The sequence below is a fragment of the Homo sapiens genome, chromosome 13, assembly GCF_000001405.40.
Source record: "Homo sapiens chromosome 13, GRCh38.p14 Primary Assembly".
Taxonomy (NCBI): Eukaryota; Metazoa; Chordata; class Mammalia; order Primates; family Hominidae; genus Homo; species Homo sapiens.
The window spans coordinates 76879125-76893603 of NC_000013.11; the positions used below are offsets into that span (position 1 = coordinate 76879125).

The following is a 14479-nucleotide window of genomic DNA, read 5'->3' on the forward strand; positions in this document are numbered from 1 at the left end:
TAGTTCCTCAAGAAGGAAAAAGTACCTCCTGGTCATTTCTCTCTTGGCATCACTTCATACAAAAAAAGCTGGACTCAAATATATTTGCATATATGTAAAAAGACATTCAGTACAGCACTCTTTGGAGTAGAAAAAAAATACCCGGAATTTTAAATGCCTATCAATAAAGGACTTACAAAATAAACGACAGCACATCTAGACAATGGCGTGTCATGTAGAATATCATGTAGCTATCAAACAAAATGAGGTAGATCATTGCCACATGTTCATGCATTGCAGTAGCTCCAGGATATGTAGTTAACAAACAGAAAGCAAGACACAGAACAGGTGTGATTTCTACAGAAAAGATAAAAAAAAAAAAAAGGGAGGCCTCTAGGAAAAACTAGCGGTTACTGGAGGAGGGTTAATCTGTATTACATTTTCAAAAAATAATGTGTCTACACACACACACTTTTAAAACAAAAGCTATCCAGAGGAAGTACAGGCAAAAGGAAAGAGGAAGGGTGAAGCCTGGCTCACTCTACCCGCCTGACTCATGGCTTCCGGTGCCATAACCCAGACGACTTGTTTCTGTGATTTCTCAATCTTAGCAGCACTGTGCCTTCTTTAGAGAGGAGGAACATCAACCACTAGAGATGAGGCAGTAAAGTGCCCCCACATCAAAAAATGCAGCTCCTCTTTCCCAACATTTTTTAGAACCTTCTCATGAACTGTACTTTTAAGTAAAGCACATCTCGAAGCTTCTATTTCCCTGTCCCTATACACAGCAAGTGGCATATGCTGCAGAGAAGTCAAAGAAAATGTTTGTGAAAAACATTTCTTCCATATTAAGTACCAGACCGCCTGGGCATTCTTGACAATAAACTCTGGGGAAAGAAGCTATTTGTGCTTGGTCCTGCTGGCCGGTTCCTTGGTGAAGAGTTCTGATGGCATAATGCTCAGCAGTAGTCCCACAATAATTTGGGAAGTGTTGCCAGTATTTAGAGAACCCCGTAAATGAAATTAGACCAGTGTTCAAGCCAATCCATGCCAAGGAGCCAAGAGGAATAATTAAAGGAGTGAATGTTTTATTCTTTAGTGTTTAATTGAATACATAACAAGTCACATAATCAATGATTCATTACTTCACACACAGGAAGGAAAACAGTAGCTAGTATTTCTGTTATACAACTGGTTGTGAACAGGAAGAACAAAAATCTTTATAGCATTAGATGGTTGAAGAAATTCTCAAAGTTTGGGCATGTCTGAAAAGACTTTGACTGCATCTTTTTTCAATATAAAGGGATTTTTTTCTTACATTTCTGTGTCATTAGAAAAATCTGATAATCTTATAAGATTTTTTCTGCTCTTCTTACATTTAGAGAAAATGGTTTAATGATATGTACTATTTAAAAAATCAGAATCCCAGATAACTCTGTGTGAATCTTACATTGTCTAGCAGATAAGGTTTTCAGATGCCTGGAAAAATTTAAACAACATATAATTTACATCTTCAAAATTAACATCCAGATGGATGTTTTAATCCTTTGTCACTAAATGGTTACTAACGCTGTTTGAGTGGTCATAAATGAATTGTCATTTGTATTCAATAGTAATAGCAAAATTTACCTGCCTATAAAGTCGCAAAAACAGTTGTATAATAGTTTACATTACAATTAATGTACCCATACCTCAAAACACATTTAGAATTTAAAAAAACTGGCTTGGAAAAAAATCACAAAAAATTTAAGTGACAACAAATCTTGATTAACTAGTCCATCTTCCTACCACACATGATTATACTCTAATGTAGATATTCTGGTTGAATTTCTTCCAACCAAGTTTGAAGGGCCCCAGTAGAAAATCAAGTGTTAATACTTTCAGATTTTTATTGTCCAAAACTGTTGACAAAGAAAAGCTAACTTCAACATAACTTGTTTCTGGCTATACAAAGACCTATTTCAGGTGCTACAGATACTGAAAATAGGAGTATTTTACTTATTTCTCAAGAGACAGACTTATGCCATCTAAGAAAATGAATTCAGTTTTTAAATGATTTATAGTAAGGAAAAACAGGAAAACAATTCCAAACGAAGGATTGACTCTGATAGGCTTACAACAAAAATATTCAGTTTACTATTTTAAAAACTAAATTGAGTAAAGTATTTGTGATTTAGACTATAAAATAAATTCTCAAGGAATTCAACCCCTCCAGTCAATACTTTTTCTTAATGTCTGCATTGTAATTTAGCATTTTGCATGTGGGAGTACACAAATGAATTGAATATTGGATCAGAATTTACCCTAACTTGAAGAGTAAAAAGTTATCAAAGTTTCACCTTACATGGCTTTATTGAAATAACATTCCATCGAAAATTCCAATAAAAATTGGAATATATTATGAGCACTGCCAATTGCTCATTTTGTCTGATATTAACAGATTATGCATTTCCTCAGAGAAGCAGTAGGTCCCATATATACAGACATATATATGGCTCTGGTTTGAAAGAGAAGACAATTTTGTCTAGTATTATGATTTATCACTGTGCTATCAATCAAAAACCAGTAGAATACATAACAACATTGAAAGGGAAAAATTTTTAAATCTCACATCTTCAAGGAATATTTTCTACAGCATATCATTTGAAAAAGTAGAATGAATACTGTTCATGGTCCACATGTATTAAAAAACATGTCAATTACTTGGTGCAAACACACAGAACCTGGTACCTGTTTTTTTTTTTTTTTTAACCACCATTGTCTACACCTTTTTAAAAATTAAGTTTGTTACTAAAAGTCCAATGTCATTCACTTGTATTTATGATCATCAAATGGTAATTAGGGCAACATATGTAAATGCATGCCTCTGAATCAGATTCATGCAGTGTTAATTATCTGAATAATTTATGACATTCTCCCAGGTTATTTGAATGGTATCTTTGGAGGGCTTACTCAAATGAACCCACAATACCTCCACTATTACAGCTTATAGGAAATTACAATCCACTTTACAGGCCTCAAAGGTTCATTCTGTGGCCCAAAGCCCATGGAGGGGAAGGGATCTAAAGGTGCTCATGTCAAGTTATTTTACTTGTTTTTTACTGTCTACCCAATGTAAAATGAATTTTCTTCACAGCCTTTACTTTAGGCTAAAAATAGACAGTTTTCTTGTATTGACTTTAACTTTAGAGGGGACAGTCGTCCCTGGAAAAAGAAGTAGATTTACTGTCCCTAACCATTAAATTCCCAGTCTTTCAAATAATGTGCGGGGCGGGGGGTGCTGGGTGTGACAGGGTGCAGTGAATAAGATGCCTATGTACAAGACAGTGGAATAGTTCACCTCAAAGGTTTACAAGATAACATTTGTAAGACTTGAGTGACAGAGGCAAAATTTTAGCAGTTTCTCAAGACTCTTGGAGTTGAGCAGATTTGAGAAGGGAAATCAGAATCGCCGAGCCTTGCCATCTGTCAGTGGTTTTGGTCTGTCCCAAGATGTTCTCAATCATGTGCTTCCTGTTGAACAATCTAACAAAATACCATACGGGGTAGAGAAATCTCTGCAACACTGACTTTTGGTCAGTGAATCAGAGTCCTAAATTATTTCAGGCTTCAAACAGATGAATTCTGATGCATTACTTAGTCTGAGACCAAACTCAACATACAAGCAAGCACAACTTCCTAGATTTCTGCTTCCATTTCGCCTAAAATTACAGGCTTTGTATATGAAGTCAATTTTACTTCTCAAAAAATGTTAGTCTAATAAAAGACCTGAAATCTATTTCCCAACTAAAAAAAAATTAGTGGATTAAAAATACAGGTACCTTGACTTTAAGTAGACAGTTAATCAACATATGATTAGTAATACAACTAATACTCAAGAAAAAAAGTATAATACAGCAAACTCAGTTTTACAATTATGTATTTTTTCCTAACCCAATTCCTCGATAAGGATGTAAGAAACTCATCAAAACATGTTGCTTTAGTATATAAACCAGCTGATGCAAATTACTGGGGTAATATAGGAAATTTTATAGCATTAGTAAATGAATTAAAAAACTAAATGATTCATGTAAAATGTTTATATATGGTATATACAGCTTGGATCACATGAGTCTAAGAATAAAACTGTCGATTTGTAACATCTGTATGGACATAGTAAGATACAGTACGAGATTCATTTTTAAAAACAAGGAAAAATAGCACTAATTTAAACACTGAAAACAGCTCTTACAAAATCCTTAAAAACGTACATCAGAGAAAGATGCTGAAAACAAAACAAAATAGGCTTCTCTGTCATCACAGAATATCCAAAGGACACCTCACAGCATGGAGCATGACGAGGTTTATTTCCCTTCACTTATGGTTTACATAGGATATGCATTGGGAATTTATTCCATGTAAGAGTAAAGGCATAAGGCAACCAGGTCTCCTTCTGTTTCTGTTGCATTTACCTATTATTGGACCATTTTATTGCTCAGCTCACTTTTAAGTACTTATTTGCCTTCATTTAAAAATATTCCATTTTACAGCTATCTACAGATAGGCAGCCCTTGGTGCTGAGTTCTCTGCAGCTCGTCATTTGAAAGGATTCCACTTAACTTCAAACAAACTGCATGAAAGTGGCATTTTCAGGTTTTCAGGTTTGCCCAGAAGTCAACGTTTGCTGGGCTTGGAGAAAATAAGGATTTTTAATAAGTGATCTTAGGTCTAAGTAACCAAAATGAAACTTCTTTTGCGCAATAGATTCCAAAATCAGGATTTATAATCAACAAGAAAATAAAAGTTCAAAAACTAAAACCCTACTGGGTAACTCTTTGGTTAGATTATATATAAGCATTAACAACTCTAAGTTTAGGACTCAAAACAGTAAGTTAAGTAAACTGCCAGGTAAGAGTAGGTCTGTTATTAATCTTTATAAAATACTTGGCATGTTTGCATTTACTATATGATATTTTTTAAATGTGCATATACTCAAACAGATGGTACAAACTTCCAACTTTCAAATCATAAATGACTATGTCTGCTTCTCCCTTCCCACCCTTCCTACCCTTTCCTCCCTCCCCACCCCACCCCGCCCACCAAGTCTTACAGCTAAAGGAAGGTCCTACTGACATTCATTGAAAGAATACAGGCTTTCCTAATACCCACGACGTGCACTATGACCCAGCTCCCTACAGTCACTGCCAGGTGACCTCCTACGGCGCTTGGAGACCTGAGCAGCCTTGCACTCTTAGGCGGCAGCGTCCTTTCTCCCTCTTGCCAGTAACTGCTGCCATGTCAACCAGTGGAATCAAGGGCTTCTGGCGAGCAGCAGCTGAAAAGGGCGCCTCTGCAGGCAGGCGGATCACTTTCTATAAGTTTAAGCTACAGGCTGAGACCTTTTATTCTGTACGAGAAAGGATCCTTTACTGTCCCACGCACTAGATTCTTCTACTTTACGTGTAACTTTTCAAAACTTTATTAGTTTAGTTACTGAACTGCCTCCATGGGGTCCTAATTCCAGGCTCAGAATCTTCCATCCAGCCTTCTAAAACTCTACCTTCAAAAGAGGTCAAAAAGACTGTGTAATGACCTTGTAAAACACTAACCCCAGACAGTGGAACCAATCCTGATCTCTTAAACCCCCAGTGAGTCATAAGAGCTTGAGAAGATTTCAAGGAAATCTTCCGCACATTGGACACGGTCCAATCAGGTTCTGAACAATTCAATCATCCCCCGGTCTGTGGCCACACTCCCCCAATAGATCCAAACTGAAGTACCATCTGGGGGAGGGGTGGTTTGAGGCAGGGAGTAGAGAAAGCATGGAGTGGTAGGTGGGGGTGGGGTGGGGGTTCCTCTGGGTTCTCTCGGTTCAGGAGGTCCAAAGAAGACGAAGCAGCCCAGAGGATTTGCGGCTGCAGGTTCTGTAGTGGAGGGAAGGTGGGCGGACAGGTCTCACCCAGCTACTACTGGAGGGGGAGAATGGGAGGGCAGCAGCCAGGGGACAAAGGTGGGACAAGAGGCTCTGTAATCATCTCTCGGGCAGGAGAAGGACTGGGCGCTGGAGTGGCGAGGGGGTCTGGGGAGCTCACTCCCTGCAGAAGACGTACTCGGTGTAGCTGGTCCAGATCTTGTCCTCGCTCTGGTCGGTGCTGCTGGCAAAGGCGCAGGTGCCCGTGGAGCTGCACGCCACCATGTGGAAGCCCGACTCGGACAGCTTGTCGAAGGCCTGCTCCAGGAAGTTGAACTTGAGGTAATAGCGCGAGGTGTAGCGCTCCGGGGGACGGTCGGGGTCCCGGCTTTCGTTCAGGGTGTCCCCAAACACCTCCTTGGCCAGCGACGTCTTTCCGCAAACGGTGATGCGCGCCACTCGCCGGAACTTGGCGTCCGCCTGCGCGTCCCGCCCGATGGTGTAGGAGCCGCGGTAGCCGATGGTGATGTAGCCCGAGCGCCGGCTGCCGTCCAGCGACTGGGACGGCGTGAGCAGCGGGCCCGCCGCGCCCCCGGACGGACTGCGGCTAGCCAGCTCCAGCGTGGGCGACGGCGCCCCGGCAGAGGCGCCCTCCTGCTGTTCGGGCTCCGAGTAGCCAAGCGGCAGCAGCTCGTCACCCAGCGAGCCCTCCTTGTGCACCCCGCGCCGCGAGGGCGGCGGCCCCGGGCCGGGCTGCTGGGGCGCCCCGAGGCGGCGCACGAGCTCTGGCAGCTCGAAGTACTCGGCCTCGCGCTGCAGCCGGCTGCGCTCGGGGAAGTAGTCGGGCAGCACGAGCTGCAAGTCCCGCAGGTAATCCAGGATGTAGCGGAAGAGGAAGCCGTCCCGGTCCAGAAAGAAGCGGCCTTTGCTGTCCCGGGCCAGCTCCTGCGGCTGCTGCTGCGTGAACATGCGCCAGAGCAGCGAGTCGGGCACCGACACCACCGTGCAGCGCCGGGTCACGTACACCTGGCCCCCCACGTTCAGCTCCACGATGTCGGGGAAGAGCGGTGGCTCCGCGGAGGACGACGAGGAGCCACTGCCGCCCCCGCCGCCGCCCCCGTTGGGTAATCCACGTGTGCTGTCCGCCAGAGCCATGACAGAGAGGTGGCCGGGCCGGGACAGTGGCAGGAAGCCGCGCTGCACTCAGGAGCTGCAACCGCCTTCCCCGGAGCCCCGGAACCCGGACGCTCGCTCAGCCCTGCGCCCCGCCGCCGCCGCCGCCGCCACCGCCGCCACCGCCACCGCCGCCACCTCCTAGAGCCGCGCGGAGCCGAGCGGTGCGAGCGCGCCGCTGTGCGCCCCCTTGAGTTCCAGTGCGCTCCGCCCGCCTTGCCCGCGCGCTCCAGGCGAGTGCCGGGTCGCGGCCCGCGCGCTGCTTAAGTAGAGCCGCCTGCTCTGGTGCCGTGGCGCGCAGGAGGCGTGGGCGGCGGCGGAGCCTCGCTTACCGGGCGAGGGGAGGTGGGGAGCGGGGACTCGATTTGCATCTTAAACGCGGACGCCACGCGGGGCTGCTGGCTCCACCCCGGCTCGCGAGCGCTGGGGGCGCCCGGACTCCCACCCGCTCCCCACCCACCAGCCCCGCCCCGTGGTCCCGCCCAACTTTCTCCCTCTTCCGAAGAGGACCCGCCCGAGACTTGGCGGCTTCGGAAGACAGCTCCTTGGAGGGACAGTCACCGCGCCCCCTCCCCTCTCGCCCCAGCCCGCACCCAAGGACTCTGGAAGGAGGACGTGAACTTTCGGAAGCCTGTCGCCCCGGGAGTGGAAATGCGTGGCCGCCTCCGGCCCTCCCGCCTGCGGAACTGGGCGCTTCCAGCAGTGCAGCTGCGGCCTGCCATCGTTGGTTGTCGTGTCACTGAAAGTAGAGAGACGCGAAAAACCTGGAGAGACGAAAGAGCCGCCCCAGTCCGAGCGCAGCCAGATTTTGTTCAAGTTGCCTTGCAGCCAGCCTGGAAAATAAATAAATAAACCTAGAAACAAAAAGCAAACCTCAGTGTCCCGCAGTAGGATGCTTTACGATAGTTTATTTTCTGGCTGCAGAGACAAAATGAGATGAAGCTTCAAATCTGCTCTTAATTGCAATTCCCTCTTCCCGCAGGGCCTTCGAGGCACTTCACTTCGAAGTGAAGGGGTAAGACTCCGGAACGTTCGGTCTCCGGGTCCCATTCAGCCTTCGTTGAATCGCGCCCTTAGACTCACAACAGTTGCAGATCTAACGTAATTTTTAAAGCCACCTTTGGCGCCTGCATGTTTATCCTTCCAAAAGTCCAGGCGCCCCTTCTCTCCCGCATGCCTCGGTCACTCTTCGGCCCTGTCCAAGTTCCCGTCAGTCTCAGAAAGGGATATTTATATATCTGAAGGCCCTTGTCTGGATCCCATCTCTCAACTCCTGCTGCCTACACGTTTGCTTTTCCCCCTCGGACTGCAGCCCACAGAACCGCCCCCTCCCCCTGGAAGCTTTCCCTGGCTTCCCAGGTGGGTGGGGCCTCTGGATGGCTCCCTACACACTGTCTGCGCTGCTCCCAGCACGTTCTGAAATGTCATATTTATGAGTGATTATCTGATCACTGATTTGGGTATGAAAATAAGTAAGAGCTCCTGAATGCTGCAAAAAGAGAAGAGTGCAGAGGAGGGTGTCAAGAAATGATTGGGTCACTGAATGTTTCTTGTGTACCTGCTATTATTTGCAGGGCACCAGGGAGTGAGGAATGCAAAGGCGAATAATCTCCAAAGCGCTTTCAGTGTAGCCCAATAAGCAAAGGGTCAGGGGTCTGCGCAGTTATCACATCAGTTTGAAGTATAGACCACACATCAGGATAAATCAGGCAAGATCTTTGTTCTTGATAAAATTTATCCTTCTGTGTAACTACCCAGTGAGCTTCACAGTCTCCTCACAGATAAATGTCATTTTTATTTTGAAATGTTTATATCTGCTCAACAATTACCGCGCTCATGTCAGTGTGCTGAAATGAGATCAACCCCCAAACCAGTTATCTTAATTGCAAGTACAGATTTTGATACTGAATGTATTTCAACATTCTTTTTTTGTTGTTGTTCTGTTCTTTGGGATAAATAATAGATAACACAAAACTTCCAAGTCCCAGTGCAGGATTTCGAGGTGGTTGTGCTACTAGGCGTTATATTAGTGTCAGAGACCTGACAAAACCAGCCTCTTTTCTACAAATCCAAGAAAAGCCTTCTTTGTATCAGTTCTGCACATATTTTTGTATAATTACCATTGCTCATTGCATCAGCAAATCCTGCCAGCTCTGTGTTAAAAATCTTTCTAGACTATTAACGTATTTCACCATCTCCCTATCATCACCCTGGACCAAGCCACCATCATCTCTTGCCTGGATTATTGCACTGGTCTCCTAACTGCTTCTACTTCTGCTCCTACAGTCTTGTATCACCAGAACAAAAACAGGGACCCTGCTTATAATCCAAGGCTGGTATGTCACTCTGCTCAGAGCCTGCCAGTGGCTTCCTATCTCAGAAAGAGCAAAATCCAAAGTCCTCTCAGTGGCTTACAAGACTCTACATGTTTGGAGTTATCCCACCAGCACCTCTCTGACACATCTCCTGCCCTGCCCCCAGGAGCTGGCTGGCTTTAGCCACATAGCCCCTTTCTTGTTTTCTCAGGGCCTTTGCACATCCTTGTAAAAGTCTCATTTCTCCTCCCTCCCGTGTTCCTCACCTTGTTCAGGTCCCTCCCTTCTCACCTTCTTCAGGTCTGCCCAGCAAGACCTTTCCTTGATTCCACTTCTTAATGCAGCACAGCCTCACTGCAGCTTCCTCTTCCTTGCCTTATTTGTTGACTCTTTTCCTACATCAGAATATAAACTCCAAGACTTCAGCAGTTTTTGTCTGCTTGGTTCACTGCCACACCCCCACTGCCTAGAACAGAGCTGGTATATTACAGGCATTTGATAAATATCTGTTGCTCACGCAAGCATTCAACCACTATTTATTCAGGGCCTACTACTATATTCCAGGCTGCATGTTAAAAAATAATCACTGCCCACTAGGAGCTTATAGTCTTGCGAGGGAGACAAATAAATATAGTATAAAGATAAGTAAGCCTATTTCAGGTGGTGATAAATGCCACAAAGAAAATAAAATTATAAGATGTGATAGAGGGACTGAGTGTGGAATACTACTTTATACAGAGTGCCTGGGGAAGGCATCTCTGTGAATGTGACATTTGAGCTGAATAATAAGAAAGAGACAGCCATGGGAAGTTTTGGAGGAAGAGCATTCCAGGCACAGGGTCAAACAAGTTAAAGGGGCCTGAGTTATGAGTGAGCTCACATTGAAAGTTTATGTATTGTGTCATCTACTTGTATCCTGTGAATCTCCAAAGTACCCTTGAGATGATCAGTACAGAGTCAAATGTGAGTGATACCGTGTGCTTATTCACTACCTGCAGCCTACTATCATCATTCTCTACATCTTGACATAAGGTAGTCATCAACCACCAGCTAGTCTACTGCAGAAAAGCCATTGGTATTTCCTTATGGAAGCCAGGTAATGCATGAGAGATATAATAATGAATGAAACAGGTGATTTGAAACACAAGGAATGTTTTTCTAGTTAATTTTGTGTGTTCTGTTTCTTGCCTATTGGTTGGTATCACAGAATTCAAAAGGAAATACTACTGGGGAACTCTGATGCTGGGACTTGAGGGCCTGAGTGTTTATAAGAAGAGAGTCATAACTCTTTAGCATCTCCAGTATGTTAAATATGCTTGATTGCAAGGGATTGGGGAGGATTTGGAAACCCACTAGCCCTGTGTTTAGTCTCAAACCAGTTTCTAATGATGGTCATTGCTAATTGATGGTCATTGCTCCTTTTCAAGTAACTCTTTGTATTTTCCTGAATAAGATACAGTGTGCCTGCAAGTAACCTGTCCTTTGATCCTAAAGTGGAGGATACTGGAAACATCTCTGGACCTACATTCTCATCTCATTTGCATCTTCTCCCCCACCTACTGCCTTCTCTTCAAACCAGCTTCCCCTCCCACTCCCCACAGTAATCCTTCTTATCCAAAGTTTCCATTACCATGGTTTCAGTTACCCATGGTCAGCTGTGGTTTGAAAATATTACATGGAAATTCCAGAAATATAACTAATTCATAAATTCAAAATTGCACACCATTCAGAGTAGTGTGATGAAATCTCCCACTGTCCTGCTTCGTCTTGCCCTGGACATGAATATCCACACCTCTACACTCCCAACCCATGAGTCACTTAGTAGCCATCTCAGCTGTCAGATCAACTGTCTTAGTATCACCCTATCACAGTGCTTGTGTTCAAGTAACACTCAGTTTACTTAATAAATGGCCACAAATTACAAGAGTAGTGATGCTGGCAATTCAGATATGCCAAAGAGAAGCCATAAAATGCTGCCTTTAAGTGAAAAGGTGAAAGTTCTCAATTTAATAAGAAAAAAAAAGTTACATCCCAAGGTTGCTAAGATCTATGATAAGAATGTAGACATTGTGAAATTTCTGTGAAATTATGAAGGAAAAATTTGTGCTAGTTTTGCTGTCACACCTCCAAACACAAAACGTATGGCACAGAGTGCATGATAAGTGTGTAGTGAAAATGGAAAAGGCATTAAACTTGTGGATTGAAGACATGAAGAGAAACATGTTCCAATGGACAGCAATCAGGTTCAGTACTACCTACGGTTTCAGTCACCCACTGAGGGTCTTGGAATGTATACCCTTTGTATGAAAGGAGACTACTGTATTCTGCATACCAAAGATTTAAGGAAAGGAATGAGGAACATGAAGAGAAATATAAAGTTAAAGGGGAGGAAGAACTGGTGAAATGAAGTGAGTGCCTTTGAGAATTGAATGAATTTAATATATGTGAAAATGATCTGTACATTGTAAAACACCATTCAAGTGTCAGAATCATTATTTTCCACCACTTATCATGGTGCTTGACAAGTCTTCCCAATAAATACTGAATGAACAAATGAATGGCAGAAACATTAAAATGAACACTATGGGGAAAGGGGAAGAGAGGCAGAATCAGAAATTATCCTGAATAAATATTTATTCCATTTGTCATCCTCCTAATATGTGTGAATCTTTTCTCCATGCAGGCTTTAGAAGTCATTGACTTTTTGCATTTAGAAGGAGAGATTAATTGAATAACATTAAGTGAATCCGGAGGCAAAATGATCTTAATAAAGATTTGGTAAAAGATGTGACAATATTTAACCTGAAGAAAAGAGAACAAAATGTTATATAGGGTACACTGCCAAAATACTAGGTCTAAATTCCAGTTACTCAGGAGGCTGAGGCAGGAGAATTGCTTGAACCTGAGAGGCAGAGGTTGCAGTGAGCCAAGGTCGCACCACTGCACTCCAGCCTAGGCAACAGAGCGAGACCCCATCTCAAAAAACAAAACAAACAAAAAAAAAAAACAGGTCTAGACAGTAAAGAATATCCCAACATTGTATGATTATCTCTAGAGTATGATTTTTATGATTTATAGAACCAAACAAAGAAACAAAAGTTAACAATGTTGATATTTCTATACCCTTAAGATGGTGTTTGGAGCTTATCCAGGAAACAAATAATATAACAAGCATGTATAGAGTACTTACTATGAGCCAGCCCTATTTATAGAACTATACATGTATGAACTCATTTAATCCTAACAATAACTTTATGAGGTTGGTGCTATTACCCAAGTTTTAGATGAGAAACTGAGGCACAGTGAACTAATTTTCCCAAGATCATACAGCAAATAGGTGCTGGAGCTGGGATTTGAACCCAGGCAGTGTAGCCTTAGAATCTGTGCTTTTAAACACTGCATTTTAAATCCCCTTTCCTCTAGGAGTGCTTTACATGTATTAAGAAGTAAGTTATATTATTTTCCCCCTTTACAGATGAGAAACCCAAGGCAAAGAGAAGTAAGGTAACTTGACCAAGATAACACAGCTCTTTATCTCTGCTGGGGGCAGAAATGCTACTCTAAAGTCTACGTGCTTGTGTTCCGCAGTACTGGTAACCAGAAACTCAAAGTAGCCACCCTGAAAGAACTAGGGTTAAGAAAGAGTCAAGTCCTTGGCCCTTATTTCTTCTTTCTGCCTTCTTTTTTCCTTCCAACCTATTTTAGGTTTATGGGTACCTGTGCAGGTTTGTTACACAGGTAAATTGCACGTCGCAGGGGTTTGGTGTACAGATTATTTCATCACCAAAGTAATAAGCATAGTACCTGATAGGTAGTTTTTGGATTCTCACCTTCCATCCAACCTCTACCCTCAAGTAGGCTCCAATGTCTATTGTTCCCTTCCTTGTATCCATGTGTACTTTTACCCAAATAAGAATCTCTATTTGAGCCCCTGGATAGAACTGACACACTATTGTCCTAATCTTTCCCTAATTCAGTCCTGTACACAAAATAAACAAGATTTTATTTCTGGCTCTCTCAAATATCATTACGGTTTGCAAAGCACCAAGTTCCTAGCATGTTCATTTGGCTTTATTCTGATCTCATTAACTCTTGACAAGGATAAAGTGAATCCATGGAAACTGCTGAGATCTAGGTTCCAGTTTCCCAAAGCAAGCAGTATCCACTGGTCTTCTGGGGCTCATAAAATTGAACAAGTGCATTCTACTTGTGGCTTTGCATATCAAACTGAACACAAAAATAGCTGGCCCTCATCACTTGAGTGATTCTGGAACTTCTGACTAAGACTAATTATTAACATCACTGATGTTTCATAAGAATTTGAAAGTCTTGGTTTCCAATCATGATATTAAATTTAGAGAGGAACTATATATAAGTTATCACATTCTAATCACATTCTAGTGTTTTTCTGTTTCGAGTGTTTTCATATTGTCAGGTTGACTTAATTATCACAATTTTGTGAGGTGTTAACCAACCTGTGTTCCAAATGAAGAAAGAAACTCAAAAAGGTTAGGTGACTCACACCTCCTCTCAGGTGGCTGGGATGCAGTGCTGGGATGCACGTGGATGCTTCCTGATTTCATATCCCATGCTCTTTGAACTCTTCAGCAGCCATATCAGCTCCATTTAACACCCAAATGAAGGTTGTCATTCAAAATAATCACCTTGAAGACTATATACTCCTTTGAGGGATGCTGGAATCACTCACCATTTTTGGTACATTTGTTTGGAAATTTTCTTCAAAGCCAATTTACACAAGAATATCACCCTATTATTTTATACTTATGTTAAAGTTGTAGTTGATATCTTTCTAGGGCTCTAAAACAGGGCACCTCACTGCAGGACAGACCCACATGCCTGAAAATAAATTAGGACAAAGCCAGTTTTCATGAATGAAACTAAGGTGATGATCATCGGGTATTCACCTTTTGACATTGGGTTTTAAAGATCTCATCCCTAGAGTTCTCTAATATGCTGAATAGCATTGAGTTTAGGTTACTTAGAAAGAAGGGCTGATTCAACTGCAGAGATTTTAATATGTGGTTCCAGAAAGTCTGCATATTTTATTGTGAGGTTTGCACAAGAAGCCAAGCCACTGGCTAGACTGTAATGGTTGATTTCT

At 43.0% G+C, this 14479-nt stretch overlaps 1 protein-coding gene across 1 annotated transcript, besides 3 other annotated features; it reads right to left on the reverse strand.

Moving 5' to 3' along the window:
• Nucleotides 1-1050: 1050 nt before the first annotated feature.
• On the reverse strand, nt 1051-7281 carry KCTD12 (potassium channel tetramerization domain containing 12). Its single transcript, NM_138444.4, has one exon. It carries the CDS (start codon nt 7022-7024, stop codon nt 6047-6049), a length of 978 nt encoding a protein of 325 aa, NP_612453.1. The 5' UTR covers nt 7025-7281; the 3' UTR covers nt 1051-6046.
• Nucleotides 6296-6795: an enhancer, noted in NCBI's record as "H3K4me1 hESC enhancer chr13:77459555-77460054 (GRCh37/hg19 assembly coordinates)". NCBI's record gives its function as "activates a minimal SCP1, AML or CMV promoter by ChIP-STARR-seq in naive H9 embryonic stem cells {active_cell/tissue: H9 hESC(naive)}" and the evidence as "EXISTENCE:reporter gene assay evidence [ECO:0000049][PMID:30033119]".
• Nucleotides 6409-6678: a silencer, noted in NCBI's record as "silent region_5410". NCBI's record gives its function as "represses an Ori minimal core promoter by ATAC-STARR-seq in GM12878 lymphoblastoid cells {active_cell/tissue: GM12878}" and the evidence as "EXISTENCE:reporter gene assay evidence [ECO:0000049][PMID:35858748]".
• Nucleotides 7079-7508: a silencer, noted in NCBI's record as "silent region_5411". NCBI's record gives its function as "represses an Ori minimal core promoter by ATAC-STARR-seq in GM12878 lymphoblastoid cells {active_cell/tissue: GM12878}" and the evidence as "EXISTENCE:reporter gene assay evidence [ECO:0000049][PMID:35858748]".

Coding starts and splice junctions, on each gene's coding strand:
- KCTD12 (NM_138444.4), bottom strand. CDS start 7,024: ATGGCTCTGGCGGACAGCACACGTGGATTACCCAACGGGGGCGGCGGC.